At 46.5% G+C, this 23473-nt stretch overlaps 2 protein-coding genes and 1 long non-coding RNA gene across 12 annotated transcripts in view, besides 4 other annotated features; 1 reads left to right on the forward strand and 2 right to left on the reverse strand.

Moving 5' to 3' along the window:
- Positions 129-629: an enhancer, noted in NCBI's record as "H3K4me1 hESC enhancer chr1:54359446-54359946 (GRCh37/hg19 assembly coordinates)". NCBI's record gives its function as "activates a minimal SCP1, AML or CMV promoter by ChIP-STARR-seq in naive H9 embryonic stem cells {active_cell/tissue: H9 hESC(naive)}" and the evidence as "EXISTENCE:reporter gene assay evidence [ECO:0000049][PMID:30033119]".
- On the forward strand, positions 543-17442 carry DIO1 (iodothyronine deiodinase 1). Of its 7 annotated transcripts, NR_136693.2 has the most exons (5): positions 543-711; positions 795-903; positions 11022-11165; positions 12451-12650; positions 16287-17442. NR_136693.2 is itself a non-coding variant. In NM_000792.7 (4 exons), the coding sequence occupies exons 1-4, from the start codon at positions 567-569 to the stop codon at positions 16353-16355; spliced, it is 750 nt and encodes a 249-aa protein (NP_000783.2). In that variant the 5' UTR covers positions 543-566; the 3' UTR covers positions 16356-17442. The 7 variants fall into 7 exon arrangements, 5 of the variants coding, with proteins under 5 accessions (NP_000783.2, NP_998758.1, NP_001034805.1 ...); NR_136692.2 differs by lacking the exon at positions 795-903 and having other exon boundaries at positions 543-794; NM_000792.7 differs by having other exon boundaries at positions 543-903.
- Positions 614-743: an enhancer, noted in NCBI's record as "active region_1051". NCBI's record gives its function as "activates an Ori minimal core promoter by ATAC-STARR-seq in GM12878 lymphoblastoid cells {active_cell/tissue: GM12878}" and the evidence as "EXISTENCE:reporter gene assay evidence [ECO:0000049][PMID:35858748]".
- Positions 614-1130: a biological region, named in NCBI's record as "H3K4me1 hESC enhancer GRCh37_chr1:54359947-54360447".
- Positions 630-1130: an enhancer, noted in NCBI's record as "H3K4me1 hESC enhancer chr1:54359947-54360447 (GRCh37/hg19 assembly coordinates)". NCBI's record gives its function as "activates a minimal SCP1, AML or CMV promoter by ChIP-STARR-seq in naive H9 embryonic stem cells {active_cell/tissue: H9 hESC(naive)}" and the evidence as "EXISTENCE:reporter gene assay evidence [ECO:0000049][PMID:30033119]".
- Positions 2913-13054, reverse strand: LOC124904180 (uncharacterized). The gene is made up of 2 exons (XR_007066095.1): positions 12767-13054; positions 2913-3206 (listed from the first exon to the last, which is right to left on the reverse strand). It is a non-coding gene; the product is annotated as an uncharacterized LOC124904180 (long non-coding RNA).
- Positions 17932-23473, reverse strand: part of IFT25 (intraflagellar transport 25) — a 34730-nt gene continuing 29188 nt past the window's right edge. The window contains exons 6-7 of one of the 4 annotated variants that reach the window (XM_047422521.1): positions 23135-23472; positions 17932-18974 (exon numbers count right to left, since the gene is read on the reverse strand). In XM_047422521.1, the coding sequence (XP_047278477.1) occupies positions 23146-23472 (327 nt within the window). In that variant the 3' untranslated portion in view covers positions 17932-18974; positions 23135-23145. Of the gene's footprint in view, positions 19835-21416; positions 22754-22928; position 23473 lie in introns of those variants that run through there. The other 3 variants (XM_047422520.1, XM_047422519.1, NM_001382261.1) reach the window with 3 other exon arrangements.

Below are 23473 nucleotides of genomic sequence, written 5' to 3' on the forward strand. Positions count from 1 at the left end.
GGATAACTGCTTGAACCTGGGAGGCAGAGGTTGCAGTGAGCCAAGATCGTGCCACTGCACTCCAGCCTGGGCGACAGAGCGAGACTCCATCTCCAGCAACAACAACAAAAAACCATGGATGTTTGTTGGGAAAACAAAGATCTTTGTTGGGAAAAACATCTTTCATTAGTAAAAGAAGAGTTTGTGTATAAAGAATAACTAATAGCCAAATCTACTGACTTGTGAGAGAGCATCTAACAGGTTCTCTTTAAGTGTGGTCTTTTTAAGTACTTGTTTTTTAAAAAATTAATCAGAGGGAGAATTTAAGATGTGGAATCTACCAATCCAAGAATCTCTCAAAAGCTCAGGCAAAGAATTGGAAATGATAATGATTAAAACAGACCTTTGTGCACCTGGTTAGGAATTTTCTATCTCATGACAGAAAGGCAAACATCTTCTGACCTGACTCCTTCCCCTGACCCGGGGTTGGCTGCTCCTACCCTGCACCTTCATTCAGCTCCGCCCAGTGTTGCCTGGCTGCAGCCTCTCTGCCCATAGAACTCAGAGCTTACTCTGGCTTTGCCGAGATGGGGCTGCCCCAGCCAGGGCTGTGGCTGAAGAGGCTCTGGGTGCTCTTGGAGGTGGCTGTGCATGTGGTCGTGGGTAAAGTGCTTCTGATATTGTTTCCAGACAGAGTCAAGCGGAACATCCTGGCCATGGGCGAGAAGACGGGTATGACCAGGAACCCCCATTTCAGCCACGACAACTGGATACCAACCTTTTTCAGCACCCAGTATTTCTGGTTCGTCTTGAAGGTCCGTTGGCAGCGACTAGAGGACACGACTGAGCTAGGGGGTCTGGCCCCAAACTGCCCGGTGGTCCGCCTCTCAGGACAGAGGTGCAACATTTGGGAGTTTATGCAAGGTCAGGAGGCTGCCACACACTTGAGGGGTGCTTGAAATAGCAGTGGTAGAGGGGGATGAAGAGATGGGTTGGAAAGTCCTGAATTCTCCTACTACTTTTGCTGCTCCTTTTGGACCTTCTTGTCCTCTTCCTGCTTCCTGAAACTAGAACTTCTTGTGGATTGTTTCTCTAAGTAACATCACCACCTTCCCAGGCACTCAAATCACAAACCATCCAGTCTGGCATTTCAGCCCCTGGAACACTGCTCTTACTGTACAGGCTGATCTGCCTGGGCTGCTCTTTGCCCACCTCTCTGCCTGGTTAACTCTTGTTCAATCTTCAGACTGTTGCTCAATGACGCTTCTTTCGAGAAGCCAAGCCCAACTCTCCCATACTAGGCTACCCTCTCTCATCTGCCTGCTTAACATCCTAAACTTTTCTTTATTACACCTGTCGCGGTTTGTAATTATGTACGGCTGGCTAGGATTCATGTCTGCTTCCCTCACTAGTCTGCAAACTCAATGCAGGTCGAGACCATTGCTCTCACCCACTATTACACCCATGCCTGATGGTGGCACATGGTAGCTGCTCAGTAAATACTTGTTAAAGAGCTCTCGGCTGGGCGTGATGGTTCACGCCTGTAATCCCGGCACTTTGGGAGATTGAGGCTGGCAGATCATGAGGTCAGGAGTTCGAGACCATCCTGGCCAACATGATGAAACCCCGTCTCTACTAAAAATACAAAAATTAGCCAGGCGTGGTGGTGTGCACCTGTAATCCCAGCTACTCGGGAGGCTGAGGCAGAAGAATCTCTTGAACCCCGGTGGCGGAGATTGCAGTGAGTCAAGATTGTGCCACTGCATTCCAGCCTGGGCAACAGAGTGAGACGCTGTCACAAATTTAAAAAAGTCTCAGTTTTCTCTCTCTAACTCCATCCACTCCCCAGTCCAGGAAAACCAGTTTCGTCGACTTGAGTTCTTGACCGTTCCAGTTTTCTCTTTTTTGTCCTCCCAGCTTCTCTTCCTGCCAGAACTTCCTTCTCCCCGACTTGCCCACTCAGCCAGCCCAGCTTGTGAATGGCTGCCAGATTGCTCTTCTCTGAGTACATACCAGCTCAACCACTTTCAGCAGCTCCCCTCTGCATTTAGGATGAAGCCCAGGCTCAGCCTTGGATTCCAGGTCCTCCCTGGTCAGGCTCTAGCTTTTCTTCTCAATTCTACCTCTGAGCTCCCCGCCACACTCATTTCTTTCGGACAAACTGTTGGGCCTTGTACATCTCTTGTACTTTCCCTTGTCTTTGCCTTTGCTGACATCGGCTGGTCAAGAATGCCCTTCCCCTCTCCATCGTCGTCTATATCCCCCTCATTCATGTGGGTCCAGCTCTCCTGACACCTTGTCCTCCATGAAGCCACCTCAGCTTCCTACAGCTAGGCATGTGCTCTCTCCCTTCGGCTCATGGCTCTCTGTCTGCACCTCTCCTTGGACACTGCTGCTTCCTGCTCAGCACCTGGTACCTAAGCACAAGTCTTATTTCCCTGCCCAGTGGAGAGCCTCAGGAGAGGGTGTGTGTCTGATTTATCTCTGGATTCCTCAGCATGCTCGGCCCAGGGCCTAGATGCAGCAGGTAGAGAAGGCACCTGAGGCAGTTGGTTTATTCCGTGTTTTTCTTGTTTTTCTTTTTCTCTTTTTTTTTTTTTTTTTTTTTTTTTGAGACAGAGTCTCACTCTACTGCCCACGCTGGAGTGTAGGGGTATGATCACGACTCACTGCATCCTCGATTTACCAGGCTCAAGCCATCCTCCCACCTTAGCCTCCTTAGTACCTGGGACAACAAGTGCACACCACAATGCTCGGCTAATTTTTGCATTTTTTGTAGAGGTGGGGTTTCACCATGTTGCCCAGGCTGGTCTCGAACTCCTGGACTCAAGTGATCCACCCACTTCGGCCTTCCAAAATGCTGGGATTACAGGCATGAGCCACTGTGCCTGGCCTATCCTGTGTTTTTGAAAGAATGTTCTTTAGAACCTAAGTTCCACAGATATGCTTTACTATGTAGTGTTGCCTGGTCAAAGTAGTTGGGAAACCCTGAATACTATATCCCCCTCCTATGCAATTTCATGTGCAATTTCATGTGCACATGAGTGTATGCACATGAGGAGTTTACAGTTCCATAGAACAGATGGAGGTAATAAACAAATCCTTACAGTCCTATGAAATGGGGGAGGCTATAAAAAAATAGAACTTTTGCCTGGAGGACTTGGAAGTTTTCCTGGAGGAGGTGGCTCTGGAACTAGGTCTTGAAGAATGAGTCAGATTTTTGTAGCCTGACAAGGAAAAAGGGAAGAGTGTTTTAGAGGGGAAGGCAGGAGCTTCTTTTGTTTTGCTGTTCATTCATAATTTTAAACCACAGTGCACAAATGACCTCAGTTTATTCAACAAATGTTCACTAATTCCATTGGTAGTAAGAGCAATGGTAATAACTAACTTACCACATGCCCATGTGCCAAGCACTGTAACAGAACCAGGCCAATTTGCTGAATGCCAGTCATCTGCAGTTCAGTTCCCTGAAAGCCAGCTTGCCTCATGGCCAATTCATGGAATGTACTTGCATCATGTAACTGTCCACTTTCAGTGAGGCAGTTTACATTTTAAAGACTGTTGAATTTGGTCTGAGCCCCGTGGCTCACGCCTTTAATTCCAGCACTTTGGGAGGCTGAGGCGGGCAGATCACTTGAGGTCAGAAGTTCAAGACCAGCCTGGCCAACATGATGAAACCTCGTCTCTACTAAAAATACAAAAATCAGCCAGGCATGGTGGCATGCACCTATAATCCCAGCTACTCAGAAGGCTGAGGCATGAGAATCACTTGAACCCAGGAGGCAGAGGTTGCAGTGAGCCGAGATCGCACCACTGCACTCCAGCCTGGGTGACACAGCGAGACTCTGTCTTAAAATAAAATAAAATAAAATATAAAATAAAATAAAAACTGTTCAGTTTGTCTCTGCTCCCTGCTGCTGCAGCTGAGACTGAAAATTGGTAGGAGTGACCAGTTGCAGTGGCCCATGCCTGTAATCCCAGCACTGTGAGCGGCTGAGTGGGAGGATTGCTTGAACCCAGGAGTTCAAGAACAGCCTGTGCAACAGAGTGGAACCCTGTCTCTACAAAATATTTAAAAATTAGTGGGATGAGGTGGTGTGAGCCTGTAGTCCCAGCTACTCAGGAGGCTGAGTTGGGGGGGTCACTTAAGCCCAGGAGGTCGAGGCTTCAGTGAGCCATGTTCATGCTAGTGCACTCCAGCCTAGGTAACAGAGTTAAGACCTTGTCTCAAAAATAAATAAGTAAATAAAATTAAAAATTTTTAATGGTAAGAGGAGGGGACTGAAGCAAAAGAAAAATCTATTTGCAAAATAGAGTTTACTTTCAGCACATTAACCCAAAGTCCCCTGAAATCATAGGTACTAACAATACGGAAATAAACACCATGGGCCTCTGCCCTGGAAGGCCTCATAACTCAGAGTGAGAGATGGTGTCGTGACAGGGAAGCAGAGGGCACTGGGGGCAGGAACCCTGTTAAGAGTAGGGTAAGGAGGTGGCCAAGGGAAAGCTTCCTGGAGGAGAGGATGGTGTGCTGATTGTCTAGGGACAGTGAAACCTTGGGGTGGGTGAGGAAGAGGGGAATGGAAAGCAGGGCAGGGCACAGAGGAGGAGCAGCAGAGGTCTGAGATGTGGAGAAGCAACATTCAGTTTGGCACAAGTGGGGTCCCAGAGGCAGGAAGGGGTGAAGGATGAGGCTGAAGGCATCATCAGGAACCAGAGCTTACGGGGCCTTGTGTGTCGTAGCTGCAGGTTGACTTTATCCTGAGAGTACTGGTGAGTTCTGGAAGGGTTTCCAAGAGAGAAGTAAACATGATCAGTTCTGCTTATTAGAAAGACATTGGCCGAGCATGGTGGCTCACACCTGTAATCCCAGCACTTTGGGAGGCCGAGGCCAGCGGGTCACTTGATGTCAGGAGTTCGAGACCAGCCTGGCCAACCTGATGAAATCCTGTCTCTACTAAAAATACAAAAATTAGCCGGGCATCGTGGCATGCGCCTGTAATCCCAGCTCCTTGGGAGGCTGAGGCAGGAGAATTGCTTGAACCCGGGAGGTGGAGTTTGTAGTGAGCTGAGATTGCGCCACTGCACTCCAGCCTGGGCAACAAAGCGAGACTCTGTCTCAAAAAAAAAAAAAAAAAAAGAGACATGTTGTAACTACTTTGGAAACCCACCAGGCCACCAAAAAGCTCTGTTGTATGCTTTGGGTATAAACTCTGAACTCAGAGCCAGAGACAGAGAGACGTGAAGAATCTTTACTGATAATCTAAAGCAACCGCTTCGTTTTTGAGATGCAAAAGTCCAGAGAGGTGAATGACTCGCTTAGAGTCACACAGTGAGTTCTTAGAAGAGCCAGAACTAGACTTCTGACTCTCAGCTCGTGCACTTGCTGCTACTGGATACGACAGCAGGAGCTCAGGGAAACTCTCAGCCACCTCCAGCCCTCTGTGCGTCCACACACGCACACACACACAATATACACACACTCTTGGACACACACAGAACAAAACATCGAGTAACTGGCATGGTGTGGCAGAAGGCAAGTTCTGGATGATTTACTTTCTGGATACCTGAGAGTTAATCTGAAATTGGCTTCATTTCAGCCCCTGTTTAAAATCTTCTAACGTCTTTCCAGCTGTACTTACAAGTGTTGTCCAATAACTATAAATAGGATTTCTCTGCTGACAGATCCTGACATGGGGGTTAATTTACTGGTCTGGGCTGTTTTCCCATTTATACAAAGGAGTTGGACTTGATAGTCTTCACTGGATTCTCGAAATGGTGTTCTCTGCACTGTGGTCTGTGGACATGGGCAGGGTGCCAGCCCCCATGCACCCATCCTTTACCTCTCTGCTGCTGAGGAAAGCAGAGAGCTTAGTTTAAACTTTGCCCTCAATACTGACCACTGTACCCAACCACACTATAAATAATTAAACAAATGGCTCTGTCTCTTCCAGGGTCTGAATCAGTGGATGTTGAGTTTTTTTCCCAATTAAAAACAAAATTTCATACAGCTGATACTTAGAGTTGATCATGACCATAAGTCTTTTGGGTTCTTTATTTTTTATTTTTATTGAGATGGGGTCTCATGCTGTTGCCCAGGCTGGAGTGCAATGGCACGATCGTAGCTCACAGCAGCCTCATTCCTGGGCTCAAGCAGTCTTGCTGCCTCAGCCTCCCAAGTAGCTGGGACTAGACATGTGTCACCACGCCTGGATAATTTTTTTTTAAGAGACAGGGTCCTGCTATGTTGCCCAGGCTTTTTGGGTTCCTACCTAAAGAGTGACAGAGTGACTCTCTGGGGTCATTGGAGGCCAGTGACCAGCCACTTGGCCACAATTGACCTCTGAGCTGCCCTCCTGAAGCCTGGGCCTCCTTGTCACATGGGTGAGAAATCATAGTGCAGTCAACCAGCAGAGACTGAGGCCACTCAATGCCTCCTCAGGCCTTTTAAGAAAAAGTCTGACCCAAGGACAAGGAGAGGGGCTTCGTATGTCCAGTGAAACTAGTCTGCTTTCCTCTCATATGCTAAAAATTGAGAATATAAGCCAATTTTGTTTCTTCTTTTACTTGGCCACCAGGAAGCTCAGAGTCAAAATATAGCTCAGTTATAACAAATGCATGGGACCTATGGCCTGTGTGTATTCCGTTTTCCCCTCCTGTTCTACACCTCCCAGAGGGGCATGATTAAAAAAAATTCTGGCCAGGCGCAGTGGCTCACGCCTGTAATCCCAGCACTTTGGGAGGCCAAGGCCGGTGAATCGCTTGAGGTCAGGAGTTCAAGACCATCCTGGCCAACATGGAGAAACCCTGTCTCTACTAAAAATACAAAAATTAGCCAGGCATGGTGGTGCACGCTTGTAATCCCAGCTACTTAGGAGGCTGAGGCAGGAGAATTCCTTGAACTTGGGAGGCGGAGGTTGCAGTGAGCTGAGATCACGTTTTTGCACTACAGCCTGGGTGACAGAGGAAAACTCCATCTCAAAAATAAAAAATAAAAAAATTCCATTTAATGTGTTAGTATAGGTGTAAGGAGCTTTAAATTCTTTGCAGAACACAGAGGGGGTATAGTTAACCAAATAAACCACATGTAAGTTAAGATGCCCTCTACTCCCCATCTATCTGCAAACCCTGTCAATTCTGCCTTCTCCCCAGCTCCACTGCCCCACACTAGCTAGCCCAGGCGCCCATTTTCTCTCTTTTTCTCTTATAGAGACAGGGTCTCATTCTGTGGCCCAGGCTGAAGGGCAATGGCACAATCACAGCTGACTACAGCCTCAACCTCTTAGGCTTAATGGACGCTCCAGCCTCAGCCTCTTGAGTAGCTGGGACTACAGGCACACCCTACCAGGGCCAGCTAACTTTTTTTTTTTTTTTTTTTTTTTTTTTTTCAGAGATAAGGTCTCACTGTGTTGCCCAGGGTGGTCTTGAACTCATGGGCTCAAGCGATCCTCCTGCCTCAGCCTCCCAAAATGCTGGGATTACAGGTGTGAGCTACTGCATCCAGACCCATTGTCTTTCATGTAGACTTCTCCAGTGCCCCCTAACTGCTTATCCCTCACTTTCATTTTCACTCTTAGTCCTTTCTCCACAGAGCAGCCAGAGTGATCTTCAAGTGTAAATCTGGTTATTACATGGCCCTACTGTAGCAGTCAGGTTCTGGCTTGTAAGCAACAGAAGCTCCCTCTGGTTTTCTTGGTCACACACACATATGTACATAAAGGAACATACTGGAAAGGTGTTGAGTGCTTTCCAGAAACAATATCAGCTGGTCTTGATTGGACTGTCTTTTAGCATCAATAGTTGGGCCTGGATCCTGCTGTCATTGTGGTTGCCATGGGAACCCATCACCATCCCTTACAGGAGCACCACAACTGGGCTGTGGATGAATTCTGCCGTCTCAATGACTCCCAGAATCAAAGATCTATGTGGAAGGGTATAATTAGCCCAGCTGGGGTCACTGCCTGAGCCCTGGCTGCCAGGGGCAGAGTGCGAACCTGGCCCTTCTGTCTTCCAAAGAGCAAGGCTGGGCACACTGTTTCATAAATAGAATACAAAATAGGGAATTCTAAGTAGGAAGGAGAGTTAGGAGTTGGGCAGCCAAAACTGCAACAAACAAGTCAGATATAGTCAAGTGCACCTATAGTTCCAGCTACTCAGAAGGCTGAGGCAGGAGGATCACTTGAGCCCAGAAGTTCAAGGCTGTAGTGTATTATGATGGCACCTGTGAATAGCCACTGCATTCCAGTCTGGGCAACATAACAAGATCTCATCTCTCAAAAAAAAAAAAAAATGAAAAAGAAAATATGCAATAATATTCACCACCCTTGCTTTATATTCCTATGATAGCCCACATACCTAGGATAAAATCCAGATTCTTTACAAAGGCTTATGGGAGCCTGCCTGCTCTGGTCCATCCCTAACACTCCAACCCTTCTCTTGTTGCTCTCTATGCCGGGTTCCTGCCAGTGGTTTTGTGGGGCCTTGAACACACCAAGTTCTCTCCCTCCTTGGGGACTCTGTGTGAGTCTCTTTGGCTAGAATCCCTTTCTCCCTTTTCCCATGGCTGGTTCTCTCCTGTTTTTCATTTCTCAGGTTAAATGGCAGCTCCTCAAAGGCCTTCCCTGCCCCGCCTGTCTAAAATAGGTAACTCCTTTATAGCCTCTCTCGTAACACTGATCACAATTTGAAACTTCTTCATTTACGCATTTACTTACTTTTTTTTGCCTGTCTCCCCACTAAGCAGACTTCAAACTGCACACAGCCAGAGAGCTGCTGGTCTCATTCTCTGCCGAATCCCCAGTGTGTGGCAGGGAGACTTGCATATTTTAAGTGCTGAATAAATATTTGTAGATAGGATGAGAGTATACTACATTCTGGAGATTCGAGGATGAATGAGGAACAGGCCCTGCCCTCAGGGGACAATGAGTAGGGGGGTTTGGGGGTATGTGGACACTTAAACAGGCCATGTCACAGTGCAAGACTAGCCATGCTCCAATAAATGTATGGTAAGGGCTCAACAATGTCAGCTCTGGCCGTAAGAAACCACAGGAGGCCAGCTGCTCCCCAGAGTTGTCCTTGGTCTAGGATGGGGAGTTACAGAAGGCTTCCACCCAGGGCTGGCTTCATGGACATGGGACCAGTGAATCACACAGGGACCTACACTCAAAAGGGCCTTGTCCTTGGGATTTAATGTTCTGCAGCAGCTGTCTTGAATTTTTGTTGCTGTTGTTGTTTTTAGCACACCAGAGTTGTAAAGTATGTCTTGAAATTCTTCATAATTTTATCTTTGAATCTGCATTTTGTAAGTGAAACCCTACGGGACAATGGAGCATGCCCTGAGGACTTGGAGCCTCTGCTTGCACAGGCTCCTGCCTTCCACAGCCTCCCTGCCCCTCCAGGACATGTTCTCTAAGGCCCACTCTCCCATCCCCAGGTGCTCCTTCCTGCTTCCACCCAGTGACTGCTGCCATCTCCTGACCCCAGAGTGGGCCTGGATACAGACATGAGGAAGGTGGGGGTCAGGTGTCACGTCCCCCAGTGTTGCATGGCAGCTGTCCCCATCCCGGGCTCGCAGTGCCATAGTGCAATTCGCCAAGTGACTGAGGGTGGGGGAAGCCTCTTGCCCACCCTTTCCCCCATCAAGGTACCTAGTATGTTCCTTACAGAGGTTGCAATACCCTGTGGGTTGGGGTGGTGGGCAGGTGGGAAGGGGCCATGTCTGGCTCAACTTCTGTGATGCTGGGCGGGGCATGGCATGTTGGTCTGGTGGCTGGAGGGAAAGGGAAATGCACACACACTCGGTCTCTGGGGTGCTGGGTAGCTGTGAGGATCTGCTCTCACTCTATGAATACCCCAGGGGAGTATGACATCAAATAGCAACTAAAAGACACGATGCCAGGTCAAGAGAGGGACTACAGAAGATTAGAAATGTCTTTGTATTTCAGGCTGGGCACGGTGGCTCAGGCCTGTAATCGCAGCACTTTGGGAGGCCGAGGCCGGCGGATCACTTGAGGTCAGGAGTCTGAGACCAGCCTGGCCAACATAGTGAAACCCCGTCTCTACTAAAAATACAAAAATTAGCCAGGTGTGGTGGTGTGCACCTGGAGTCCCAGCTACTCAGGAGGCTGAGGCAGGAGAATCGCTTGAACCCCGGAGGCGGAGTTTGCAGTGAGCTGAGATCACACCACTGCACTCCAGCCTGGGTGAGACTCCATCTCAAAAAAATAAAAAAGAAACGTCTTTATATTTTAATAAATTTAATGGCACTTTCCCCCACTTTTTGAACAAGGAACCCTGCATTTTCATTTGGCGGCAGGCCCAGCAAATTATGCAGCTGGTCCTGCTCCTAGCATTCACTCTCTTTGTGGAGCTGCCTTCGGTGCCTCCCTACTTCATAGCTCAGGGAGGAGATACAAGCTCATAGCAACAGCTTATATTTATGAAGCACCTACTATGGGCCAGTAACCAGTTTAAGCCCTTATCTCTATTAATTTATTTAATCCTCCTAACAGTGCTACAAAGGATTATTATGCCCCCCTTGTGGATGAGGAAACTGAAGTGCTATGAATAGAAAGAGCACTGAATTGAGAGTTCAGAAACCAGAATGTTCATTTTAACTCCTCACTGACCTGCTGTGTGACCTGGAGCAAATGTGTAAAACTCAGTTTCTTTGTCTATAAAATGGGGGGAAAAAATGACCAACCTTGCAGTATTACTAATCCCATCGCATGACAGAATGGATGCATACCTGCCTTATAAACTGCATGAAAGGGACTCCTCTTATATTTAAACTGCTATGCGGCAACTGCAGGTGGTCCACTGAGACCACCTAAAAAAACCTCTCATTTTAGAGAGGAGTAAACCAGCTCCAGCCCCTGCTAAGTCATGCTCTCTAGGTGTCGGACCCCAGTGCCTAGGACCCATCCTGGGGTGGGGGGTAGGGGGAAATAAAAATAACAGAATTGAACATAGGAGTGAAAATGGTGCTTGTAAAAGAAAGCTGTGTGTAGGGTCTCAGTTTGTGATGGTTGTTGCTGTTTCAGGTAATAGGCCACTGGTGCTGAATTTTGGAAGTTGTACCTGACCTTCATTTATGTTCAAATTTGACCAGTTCAAGAGGCTTATTGAAGACTTTAGTTCCATAGCAGATTTTCTTGTCATTTACATTGAAGAAGCACATGCATCAGGTACAGAAAGATTCTCTGCCTCTTCTACCTCTTCCCACTGTCTTTTCTCTCTCCCTTTTCCCCAGGCCCCATCTCAAGGTTGGGAGGTGGAAGGAGGAAGAGGAGGGGAGAGGGAAAGAGCCACTATTCACTGAGCACCCACCACTCCCAGGCCCTGCACTGGGCTAACCTCACAGTCTGTGCTTTCAACCAGGGTACAGAGAGCAGAACACCTGGAGTGACAGGGTCTGGCTAGGAGAGGATTCTAACATTTTGATCGGATAAATAGGGAAGTCAAGGGAGAAGAACTGATTTGAACACATTTACAAAGAATTCAGACCCAAAATGTCACAGGTGAAATGACGGCCTTATGGCTATTTTTTTTTTTTTTTTTTTTTGAGATAGGGTCTTGTTCTGTCGCCTGAGCTGGGGCTGGAATGCAATAGCACTCACATGGCTCACTGCAGCCTCAACCTCCTGGGCTAAATCGATCCTCCTGTCTCAGCCTTCCAAGTAGCTGTACTGCAGGCATACGCCACCATGCCCAGCTAGTTTTTTGTATTTTTTGTAGAAACAGAGTTTCACCATGTTACTCGGGCTGGTCTCAAACTCCTAGGTTCAAACAATCTGCCCACCTCGGCCTCCCAAAGTGCTGGAATTACAGTCGTGAGCCACTGCACCCAGCCTATATTTGTATTTTTGAAAGAACACTGTGGTGAAGAATTAGGAGAAAAAATAGTACTTAAACTCAGTATGAATTAGAATCATCTGGAAGGCTGTTAAAACGCAGATGTCTGGGTCCCATTTCTAGTCCATCCACGCTGACGCCTAGGGTTTGCACTACTTAACAAACTTCCAGGTGACGCTGATGCTGTTAGTCTGGGGACACACACTTAGAGAACTACTGATCTAAACCCTTGCCTCTCCAAGTATGGTCTAGGCGCCAGCAGTCTTGGCATCCTGGGAGTTAGATGGACTCTCAGTTCCACCTTCGACAGACCGAATCAGAATCTTCCTATAACAAGGTCCCCAAATGATTCATGCACATTCAAGATCAAGGAGTGCTGGTTTATTGGACTATTTCACGTTGAAGAGCAGGGGTCTGGCAGACAGAAGCCCTGGGCTTCAGTTCTGGATCAATCACTAATTCCTGACGTGACCTTGCACATTCAACCATAATGGGAAACCAGGCCAAATCATTGCCAAGGGCTCCTCTGAGAACCTCAGTTAAAAGTGAGGGGCTATTTAGTCTGCAGGAAGTGTGTGCTGTGTCAATGGGACTCGGTGCCTGGCCTTTCTCTTGTAGATGGCTGGGCTTTTAAGAACAACATGGACATCAGAAATCACCAGAACCTTCAGGATCGCCTGCAGGCAGCCCATCTACTGCTGGCCAGGAGCCCCCAGTGCCCTGTGGTGGTGGACACCATGCAGAACCAGAGCAGCCAGCTCTACGCAGCACTGCCTGAGAGGCTCTACATAATCCAGGAGGGCAGGATCCTCTACAAGGTGGTGACCTGGGGACAGGGGGCCCAGGGAGGGCAAAGGGGCCCAGGGAGGGCAAGGGCAAAGAGAAGGCTTTGCATCAAGCAGAACTGGATTCAAATCACCACCCAGCCACTTACCAGCCATGTGACCATGGGCGAGTGCTTTCACTTCTTGGAGTTCCTTCAATTTCCTCTTCTGCAAAATGGGAATGTTGGTCTCCACCTCACGGGGGATGAAATAATGCACACGAATGTCCCTAGCATTTGGACTGGAGCTGCATCCTCCCGGCTTCCTTTTGAACCCAGATGATGGCCCAGTCCTGGTCTGGTTTCAAACTCAGAGACAGAGAATGTTGTTTTTGTTCTCTGTTTTTTGGGTTTCTTTCTTTCTTTTTTTTTTTTGAGACAGACTCTCACTCTGTTGCCCAGGCTGGAGTGCAGAGGGGTGACCTTGGCTCACTGCAACCTCCACCTCCCGGGTTCAAGCAATTCTCCTGCCTCAGCCTCCCAAGTAGCTGGGACTACAGGCGCACACCACGCCCAGCTAATTTTTGTATTTTTAGTAGAGACGGGGTTTCACCATGTTAGCCAGGCTGGTCTTGAACTCCTGGCCTCAAGTGATCTGCCCGCCTTGGCCTCCCAAAGTGTTGGGATAACAGGCGTGAGCCACCGTGCCCGGTCTGTTTTTGTTTTATGAACAATGTTCAGAGAGGGGAATTGACTTGTCCAAGGTCACGCTGGGCAAGGCTCTGATTTCAATTCTAAAGCCCTTGATCGGGTGGGCCAGAAATGAGAAGGTCTGAAGCTGCTAACATTTGCGGCAGGCCTGAACCAGGGCTGGCGGGGTAGAAGTCTCAAGGGGAATGGAACCCGTGGTTTGGAGCTGGAAATGCTGGACGCAGGGATGTGCGGCAGAAATGCATTTCAGGCTCCCTTTCTTGTGATTGCTTCCTCTCAAAAGTTCCAGCCTGGTCAGGGTGAGGGAGGTAAGCACAGCCTCTGACTCTTTAGACACAGTTGGCTTGGCCTCCCTTAAGAAGGTAGAAACTACATTTTAAAGCTATTGAAGGGATTTCAAGCCTTGGAGAGCAGATGAAACCAAGTATGTGGATGCTCCTCTGTCCACAGATCAAGATCAAGCTGACCCTACCTATTCAGATAAAACAAGCAAAAACTTGCAGGCAAATTCCCAAGGTGCAAGGGTCACAGTAGAAGAATGTGGGTCCTTCATCCTTTCCTGTACCTTGGGACATGGTTCAGGCATGATTGAGGCACCCTGGGCACTGAATCCCTACCTTGGGTTAGGCCCTGTGCAAATACTGGAAACACAAAAATGAATTGAAAATGACTCATACCTAGCCGGGTGCAGTGGCTTACGCCTGTAATCCCAGCACTTTGGGAGGCCGAGGCAGGCTGATCACTTGAGGTTGGGAGTTGGAGACCAGCCTGACCAACATAGTGAAACCCTGTCTCTACTAAAAATACAAAATTAGCCAGGCGTGGTGGCGCATGCCTGTAATCCCAGCTACTTGAGAGGCTGAAGCAGGAGAATCGCTTGTACCCGGGAGGCAGAGGTTGTGGTGAGCAGAGATCGCACCATTGCACTCCAGCCTGAGCAACAAGAGTGAAACTCTGTCTCGGAAAAAAAAAAAAAAAAAAAAAAATGACCGGCCGGGCGCAGTGGCTCATGCCTGTAATCCCAGCACTTTGGGAGGCTGAGGCAGGCAGATCACGAGGTCATGAATTCGAGACCAGCCTGACCAACATGGTGAAACCCTGTCTCTACTAAAAATACAAAAATTAGCCAGGCATGGTGGCATGTGCCTATAATCCCAGCTACTTGGGAGGCTGGGGCAGGAGAATTGCTTGAACCCGGGAGGCGGAGGTTGCAGTGAGCCGAGATCGCACCACTGCACTCCAGTCTTGGCAACAGAGCGAGACTCCGTCTCAAAAAAAAAAAGAAAAAAAGAAAATGGCCCACACCCTTACTTCAAGGTACTCACAGGCTGAGGGATAAGGAAGACCCAAGTAAGACTATTACAGTGTCCCAACTGCTGGGGGACTCCAGAGCAGGGGTCAGCACGCCTTTTCTGTATAGGGCCTGATAGTAAATATTTTCAACTTTGTGCCAAGTAATCCCTGTCGCAACAATTCAATTCTGCTGTTATAGCACAACAGCAGCTGCAGACGACATGCAAATGAAAGCATGTGAGGCATCAGGACTAACCTGGCTCTCAGACTGTAAGTTTTTCAACCTCTGGGGAAGGGTAGGCTTCTCAGAGGGGGCAGCAATTGCTTGGGCCTTAAAGGATAAGGAGTTGGCCTAGTGAGCACAGTGAGTGAAAATCACTGCGGTATAGGGAAGAGGGTGGGTGGAGGCACTGAGGCATAGTAGGGCAGAGTGTGAATAAACGATTGGAGACATTGGGGTTACACAGGGGTCTCATTCTAGACCAAGGGGTTTGGTCTTCATCTTAGGGCAAAGGAGAGCCACTGACGGGTTTGGAGCAGGAAAGAGACATGATCGGACCTGTACTTAGAACGTTCACTGGCTCACGGCTGTAACTCTAGCACTTTGGGAGGCTGAGCCGGGCAGATCACCTGAGGTCAGGAGTTCAAGACCAGCTTGGCCAACATGGTGAAACCCTGTCTCTACTAAAAGTACAAAAAAATTAGCCAGGCGTGGTGGCGTGTGCCTGTAATCCCAGCTACTTGTGAGGCTGAGGCACGAGAATTGTTTGAACCTGGGAGGCGGAGGTTGCAGTGAGCAAAGATTGTGCCAGTGCACTCCAGCCTGGGCGACAGAGTGAGACTCTCTCAAAAAAAAAAAAGAAAAGAAAAAGAAAGTTCACTGGTTCCATGGCCGGGCGTGGTGGCTCATACCTGTAATCCCGGCACTTTGGGAGGCCAAGGCGGGCAGGTCACTTGAGGCCAGGAGTTCGAGACCAGCCTAGCCCACGTGGCGAAACCCTGTCTCTACTAAAAATACAAAAATTAGCCAGGCGTGGTGGAGTGCACCCGTATTCCCTGCTACTCAGGAGGCTGAGGCAGGAGAATTGCTTGAACCTGGGAGGCAGAGGTTGCAGTGAATCAAGATTGCGCCATTGCACTCCAGCCTGGGCAACAGAGCGAGACTCTGTCTCAAAAAAAAAAGAAAAAAGTTCACTGGTTCCTGGTTGAAAAATGGACAGGAGGGAGCAGGGACTAAGGACTGGGGATAGCTGGGAGGGGTGGCAGCTGCCCAGGCTGTAGGATGAAAAGGGCTGACCTAGGGCAGTAGAACTGGAGAGGCAGAGATGGTTCTGAGGTAGGATGGGTAGAACTTGATGTGAAGGCTGGAGAAGATTAGGCCAGTCTGAAGGTCTGATTATGGAAGAAAAGCTTATTTGTACAGAACCCTTCTCTTTTTGAAAGACTATGTCACTTTATGTCCTCTAGTTTTTCTACTTCTCTGTCCAACCTTCCTGTTAACTGCTGATGCCACTGTACACACTTTCTCAACCACCTCACGGTTGCATCTGCCATTGAATTAGCCATGCTGATGGCTCCTACACAGACATCATTTGACCACCTCTTGCAACTAACCTCCAGACCTACATGTTCCTTACAACTTGGAAATCCTTACAAGTTGGGAATGCCTGATTCGTTTCTCTTGCAGGGTAAATCTGGCCCTTGGAACTACAACCCAGAGGAAGTTCGTGCTGTTCTGGAAAAGCTCCACAGTTAATCTGGACAGATACCTCAATTCTAGGTGACCAACGGGAGGGCTTCTCAAGGCTTAGCTCTCCCTGAGACCCAGCTGGCTTTTACCCTTGACCTGTGTCCCTAGCTGAATCACTAGCTCAGATTTTTCTGATCTAAGCAAACAACTCCCAGCTGAGGAATGCAGGCCACAGCACCCAATCAAGACAAATTGTTATTATCAGAAAATGAAGCAACACTTGAGCTGTTCAGGCCAGTTCCCTGTTGAAGAAACAGTTCCCTGTTGAAGAAAGTAGAGCCTGACACTGCTCCCACTTTGGAGACCACATTCCCTGCACACGGTCTTTGAGAGAGCAGTTGCACTCTACAGGCACACTTCTGAGGTACGGTATCTCTCTCCAGCCACTCTGATACCAAGTAATTCAAGCTGGCATTCCTTCTATTAGGGAAATTCATTTTACCCAATTTGCATTTATGGAATTGATCATTTAAGACACTAAATTAGTTTTTAGAACCAATTATGGGAAGAATTCCAGTTGTTAGGAAGAGATGAGGAGTTGGAAGAGGAGGGATTAGAAACAGGAGGAGGCAGTCATCCTCTCCTTGCCAAAAGATTTAAACCTGTCCACATTGGTGGTGATGATGGGTGAGTTTCCATGGTAACACATCCCTAATTTTACCAGGGAAGAGGAGAGTACTCACTTTACCATCTTTGAATATATTTCATAGAAATCTAGCTCTCTGTACCCTGAAATCTTCCACTAGCCTCACTTTTCAACAGAGTCATCTAGAAGGGAGGGTTGGCTTCCCAAAAGCATAACCTTGACCAAACCAAACAATAGGCACCAGCAATGCTGTCATTCAGTTATGCAGAAGCTCATTTGTGAAATTCTGTTTCTCTGATTTCTTCGCAAGTCTCTTAATGGTCATTTGTGTTAGATTACATCAAACTGATGGATAGCCATTGGTATTCATCTATTTTAACTCTGTGTCTTTACATATTTGTTTATGATGGCCACAGCCTAAAGTACACACGGCTGTGACTTGATTCAAAAGAAAATGTTATAAGATGCAGTAAACTAATAACAGAATTATTAAAATATATCAGGCTATTTTGGATGGCTTCCGTGTGATCTTTACATTTTCTTTTCCAATTTGTATCTGATTACCCAGTGTAATCTGACCAGCAAAAATACCATACGCTGAAAGGGCCTCATTTTGGGGGAAGAACATTCAGGCCCTATGTTACATGTTAAATGTGGTTTTGTCTTATGAACTCCTGCTGGAGTGAAATAATTTTTCACATTGGAATCAAATTACCTTTATAACATGACATAAAAGAATGGATCAGGAGACCTTTTGCTAGCATGAGAACATATTCTCTTTAGCTATACTTTAGTTGCTACAAAGTTAATATTATTAATGTTGTCACTTTATTATTTTAAAAATAGTTATTGCAAGAGGCTGAGGCAGGAGAATCACTTGAACTCAGGAGGCAGAGGTTGCAGTGAGCCAAGATGGTGCCCCTTAATTCCAGCCTGGGTGACAGAGCGAGACTCCGTAAAAAAAGTTATTATTAATCATCTACCAGGCACAGTCACTTTCAGATATGTTATCTCATTTAATCTCTATATATCTCAAAGAGGAGATGATTATCCCCATTTTACAGATGAGGAAATCAAGGCTCAGAGAGTTAAGTAACTTGCATAACTTCTCAGAACTAGTAAGTAACAAGCCGAGATTCAAACCGGATCTCTAACTTCAAGGCCAGAGTCCTAGCTCTGTTCCTGCCAGCTGGGTGACTTTGATCAAGCTGCCTTGGTATCTTGACCTATAAAACAGGGTATCAATAGTGCCTAGTCCATAGATTCATGAGTAGAGCACTCAGAACTGTGCCTGACTTGGAGAAAGTGTCATGAAGTGTTGGCTATTATTACGATTATCATAATTATTGTCCCACAACTGCTTCCTCGGGCCCTTTTTTGGGGGGTTGGAGGTGGAAGGAGGACAAGACAATATGGATGCTGAATAAAAATTCCCCATCCTACCAAAGCCACTCATGACCAACATAGGCATGAGTTTGTGAGGCTATACTGAAAATGAGAAGCTGTGACAATGATGGGACTGAAGCACAGATGAGCACTCACTGTTCCTCCTAAGTACTAAGTTGCACAAAAGGAGACAGGATGTAAGGCAAGCCTCTTCTGAATCACTTCTCTGATGGTCTTCCAATTCGTGTCTACAAATGCACAGAAATCTCCCCATTTTCACTAAATAATAGTAGCTGGAACTGAGGAGCTTTTCAGAATGACAAAAATAGACCCCCGGCTTTCCAATTAGATTCTCTTCAACTTAATGCATCAAACATTGAGCATTGATTCTTTTCTGGGTGCAGAGTTATGCAAAGATGGACGAGGAAGAGCTGTTGTCCTCCAGCAGCTTAATCTCACAGGGGACCAGACATACACTCCAATGACCATAACTCAAGGTGGAGTATATGTTAGAGTGAAGACTAAGTGCTCAGAGGGCACAGAGGAGACAGCAATCCTCTGAGCTGGGTGAATCCAACAATGCTTTTTGGAGCTGGTGGCATTTGAGCTGGTCTTCAAAGATGCCCAGTACTTCCATAATTTGGGATGGGAGCCTGGAGAAGATGGGAAGGGAGAAGGGCATTTCAAGTGAGGAGAACTACAAGGGCAAAGGTGGGAAAAGGGCTATGTGCAGGAGACTGCAAGAGGTTTGGGTTCAATTCCAATCCTTTTGTTTTACAGTTGCTAGCCATAGGCCAGTGTAGTTCAATGGTTCTCAAACTTGGGCATGCAACAAAATCACCTGGAGGGCTTGCTGCAACACAGATTCTTGGTTCTCATCTCCAGAGTTTACGATTCGACAGATCTGAGGTTGAGCTAGGGAATTTGCATTACTAACAAGTTCTCAGGTGAGGCTGATCCTGCTGTCCCAGGAACCACACTTTGAGAACCGCTGCTATAGTAGGTGTTGTTGGTGCTCTGCCCAGATGCCTTTTACCAAGCCATTGTACTCATGAGCCAGCTGCTGTGAGTGTTGGCTGCTAATGGCTCACAGATGCACTCTTTCCTGAGAATTTGCCCTCATGACAGGAGCTATCTTACCCAGAAATACCTGTGAAATTATGTCCTTCACCTGAGTGTGGCCCACAGCCAGTGACTGATGGATTTGAAATTCCAAAGCCTTTTCCCTTGCTGCAAGGTGGGGCAGTCTACTTCTCCGGTGCCAGTCATGCTTCAGAGCTCCCTATGGGATCAGACTGAGGCTAGACTTCAGCAGAAGCCATGTTTAATTTTTCCCTCTGCCTGATCCTGCTTCTCTCACTTCCTTAGAGGTTTCTCCTGAGAGCGCTCCCTCAATAAATCACTCTTCAAAGAATCCTTGTTGGAGGCTCTGCTTCTAGAGAACCTGACCCAGAGCAGTCCCCTTCTGGGTCTTTTCTGATTATGAGTCTTCATTAGTGGGGCTTGTTATCTGCTGAAACATAGTGTGGGATGAGGAGTCAGGTGGCGCAATCTGCAACTTTCATTGACATTCGCTGTCTTGAGTAGCCTATTATTAACTAAATTCCTTCCTTTGAGATGGGGCTCAGGGAAATCCCCTTCAGTTACACTCCCTTTACTTTGGATGCTTTTTCACCTTCTGCTATGGATTGAATTGTGCCCCTCTAACCCCCAAAATGCATATGTTGAAGATTTAACCTCCTTTTATTTGGAGACAGGGCCTATATAGAGGTAATGAAAATCACATGAAGTCATAAGGGTGTGGCCTTGATAAGACAGGAATAGTGTCCCTTAAGAGACACCAGAGTGCACTCTCTGCACACACACACAAAGAGCTCGTGTGAGCACACAGCAAGGTGGCAGCTACCTACAACGCAGGAAGAAAGGGTTCACCAGAAACTATGCCGGCACCCTGATCTCAGACTTCCAGCCTCCAGAGTGGTGAGAAAATAAATGTCTGTTGTTTCAGCTACCCAGTTTATGGTATTTTGTTACAGCAGCTGGAGCTAAGACAACTTCCTTCATCATGCTTTACCTCCAGCAGTCTCCTCTGGTGTATCCTGCCTGATTCTCTCCAGCTCCATCTTCCCTGCCATTCTGTTATTAACCTCGAGGCTCTCTGGAGACATTCTCCATCCTCCTGAGCCACCTGCAGCCCTCTTCAATCTAATCAAGGGACTGTTGGATAAGCCTTTCATAACCATGACACGTTTAATAAAGTCTCTAGCTTTGAGAGAACATATGCCAGTTCTCAGCTTCTTCCTTCACCAAAATCCTCATTTCACAGTACTTAGTGAGTGGGCGTCCCATTTTGATGTTAGGGATTATAGCTGCTTCCTTGAAGATAAAATGTTTTTCTTTTTATAATTCTTTTTGTTGTGAATGTTTTGAGAAAGGGGATGGAGTAAAAATCGCTTTACCCCATCATCTTTAACCAGAAGTATCCATTTTTATATTTATAAACATATATATGTATATATATAAAATTCATATCCCATTATAAAATGATGTTTGTATATATCATACTTTCTAATATATGGCTGCGTAGTAGTTTCCAGTTTTTCTGTCTTATAAACATCATTGCTATAAACTTTGTCCACTTATCTTTGTATATTCCTTTATCTGATTATTAGGCTATATTTCTAGAAATGGAATTTCTGTGTCAAAGACTACATGCATGTTTAAAACTTTGATGTACACTGCCACACACTATCTCCCAGAAGGCTATCAGGGTCAAGTTACAAAGGGTTGCTGGAACATCACCTAGAAGGTGAAGCCCACAAAGGATGCCTCCCCCAGCCTGACCCCTGCAGAGAGGCATTCCTGAGAGAGGGCTCAACAAATGCAATATGCTATAAAAAAAAATCTGTATAAATGAGTGATAAACACAATTTTCATTTCTGTAATATTTCTTTGCCTAGACTTGGTACATGGTAAAAAGGTCATTAAATTTTTACTTTTTTATCCATCGCTTTAAATAAGTATTTACTGGTTTAAACTTTATGCAAGGCGCTGTGATAGGCATTGGTCCACAGTAAGTGATCCAAAAATTCATATATTGTTGACTAGCTTTATTCAAAGCTCCTCAAAGATTCTACAGTATAAAGAGATATAGGCGTGCAAATAAATGAACGATGTTCACTTATTCAGTCAACAGATATTTCTTGAGAATATATGTGCCAGGCACTATTCTAAGCCCTGAGGATACAGTCATGAGCAGAAGCAAAAAAACCCCCTGCCTTGGGGAGCTTACATTCTAGTGAGAGAGATGATAAACATGATATACATGGTAAACAGAAAAAATACGTTAGACAGTTATAAGCAGGGCTGTCCCTATAAGGGTGAGAGAGCCCCGAGTAATTCAATTGGATTAAATCTCCTACTCAAGAGGATCACACCTGAATGCAGGTGGCACTGCCCTCATCTTTCAAAGGATACTTGGGCCATCATTAATATCATTAAAAGAAAAAAATTTAAGTGGAATTTTAATGATAGAAATGAAGAGTCAGGTATAAGAACTCCTAAATACAGAACACAGGGTGACTGCGTCAGGTCCCTAACCTAAGAAAAGAAGAAAAATAAAACAGGGAAGAAAGATTTAATGTGTTTGTCTTGCGAGGGTAAGGTGCAGGAACACTCTAATTTTAATAGGGAGGCCAGAGAAAGGCTTATTGAGAAGGAAATTTTGTGTAAGGACCTGATGTCAATGAGGAAGCCAGCTATACTGACACCAGTGGCAAGAGCACTACAGGCAGAGGAAACAGCAAACACAAAGGCCTCAATACATAGTACACACAGCACAGTGGCAGTCAGGAGTCCATGGGCAGGTGGAGAAAAGGCCACATGAAAGGGAAAGAGGATGCCAGTTGAGGACAAATGAGAGTTTAAAAAGGTGAGGGGCTGAGAGCAGTGGCTCACACCTATATTCCCAACACTTTGGGAGGCCAAGGTAGGAGGATCCTGTGAGCCTGGGAGCTCGAGACTAGCCTGGGCAACATGGTGAAACCACATTTCTATAAAAATACAAAAAATTAGCCAGGTGTGGTGGCATGTGTCTGTAGTCCCAGCTACCCAGGAGGCTGAGGTGGGAGGGTCACCTGAGCCTGGGAGGTCAAGGCTGCTGTGAGCTGTGTTTGTGCCACTGCGCTCCAGCCTGGGCAACAGACCTGCTCTCAAAAAAAAAAAAAAAAAGAGGTGATTGGGGTAGTTCAGCAGTGAAATACAAAACAAAGCAAAAAGGTAAAGCTACATATCATATCTATTGCCTGAAATGTGGAGTGGTTTAAGGTGATAATGAGAATGAGTTTTTTAAAGCCTAGAAAAATGAAGTTTAAAGCATGCTGTTTTCAAATACCGTATATGAAATGGGTGTTCTACAGTCATCAATTGTTTCCTGCATCCACAGAAGACAGAGAAAAAAGACTTAAAGATAACTCACCAGGCCTGTGCCAAAGAAATCAATCAGATAACCTCTGGAGATCCCTTTTAGCAATCTGTAAGCCTCAACACAGTGTTTCTTACACAAAGAGTTATTGCCATTTCAATTTAGAAACTTGGCAAAAAGAAAATGCTCAGCATTTCATTTTATTGAACATGAACACAATTGCTATAATTCACATTCCTTCTCAAAAACCTTAAATGGTTCCAGTGTTACAAGAAAATACCTGAAAGCCTGTGATCTAGCCGTAATGTTCAGTTTTAGTTTCACTTTTTGCTCTACTCAGACTTTTTTATTCATCTTTCCCCAAATTCATCATTATGAATGACTACTCACCTTCACATCTCTTATCTGGTATACCAAGGTGGCTTTTGAAATGCCTTTCCTACTCTTCTCCATTTAAAATTTGCTTTTCCGGGCCGGGCGCAGTGGCTCACACCTGTAATCCCAGCACTTTGGGAGGCTGAGGTGGGCAGATCACCTGAGGTCTGGAGTTCGAGACCAGCCTGGCCAACATGGCAAAACCCCATCTTTACTAAAAATGCAAAAAAATTAGCTGGGTGTGGTGGCAGGTGCCTGTAATCCCAGCTCCTAGGGAGGCTGAGGCAGGAGAATCGCTTGAACCCGGGAGACGGAGGTTGCAGTGAGCCAAGATAGCGCCATCCCACTCCGGCC

The sequence above is a fragment of the Homo sapiens genome, chromosome 1 (assembly GCF_000001405.40).
Source record: "Homo sapiens chromosome 1, GRCh38.p14 Primary Assembly".
Classification (NCBI taxonomy): Eukaryota; Metazoa; Chordata; class Mammalia; order Primates; family Hominidae; genus Homo; species Homo sapiens.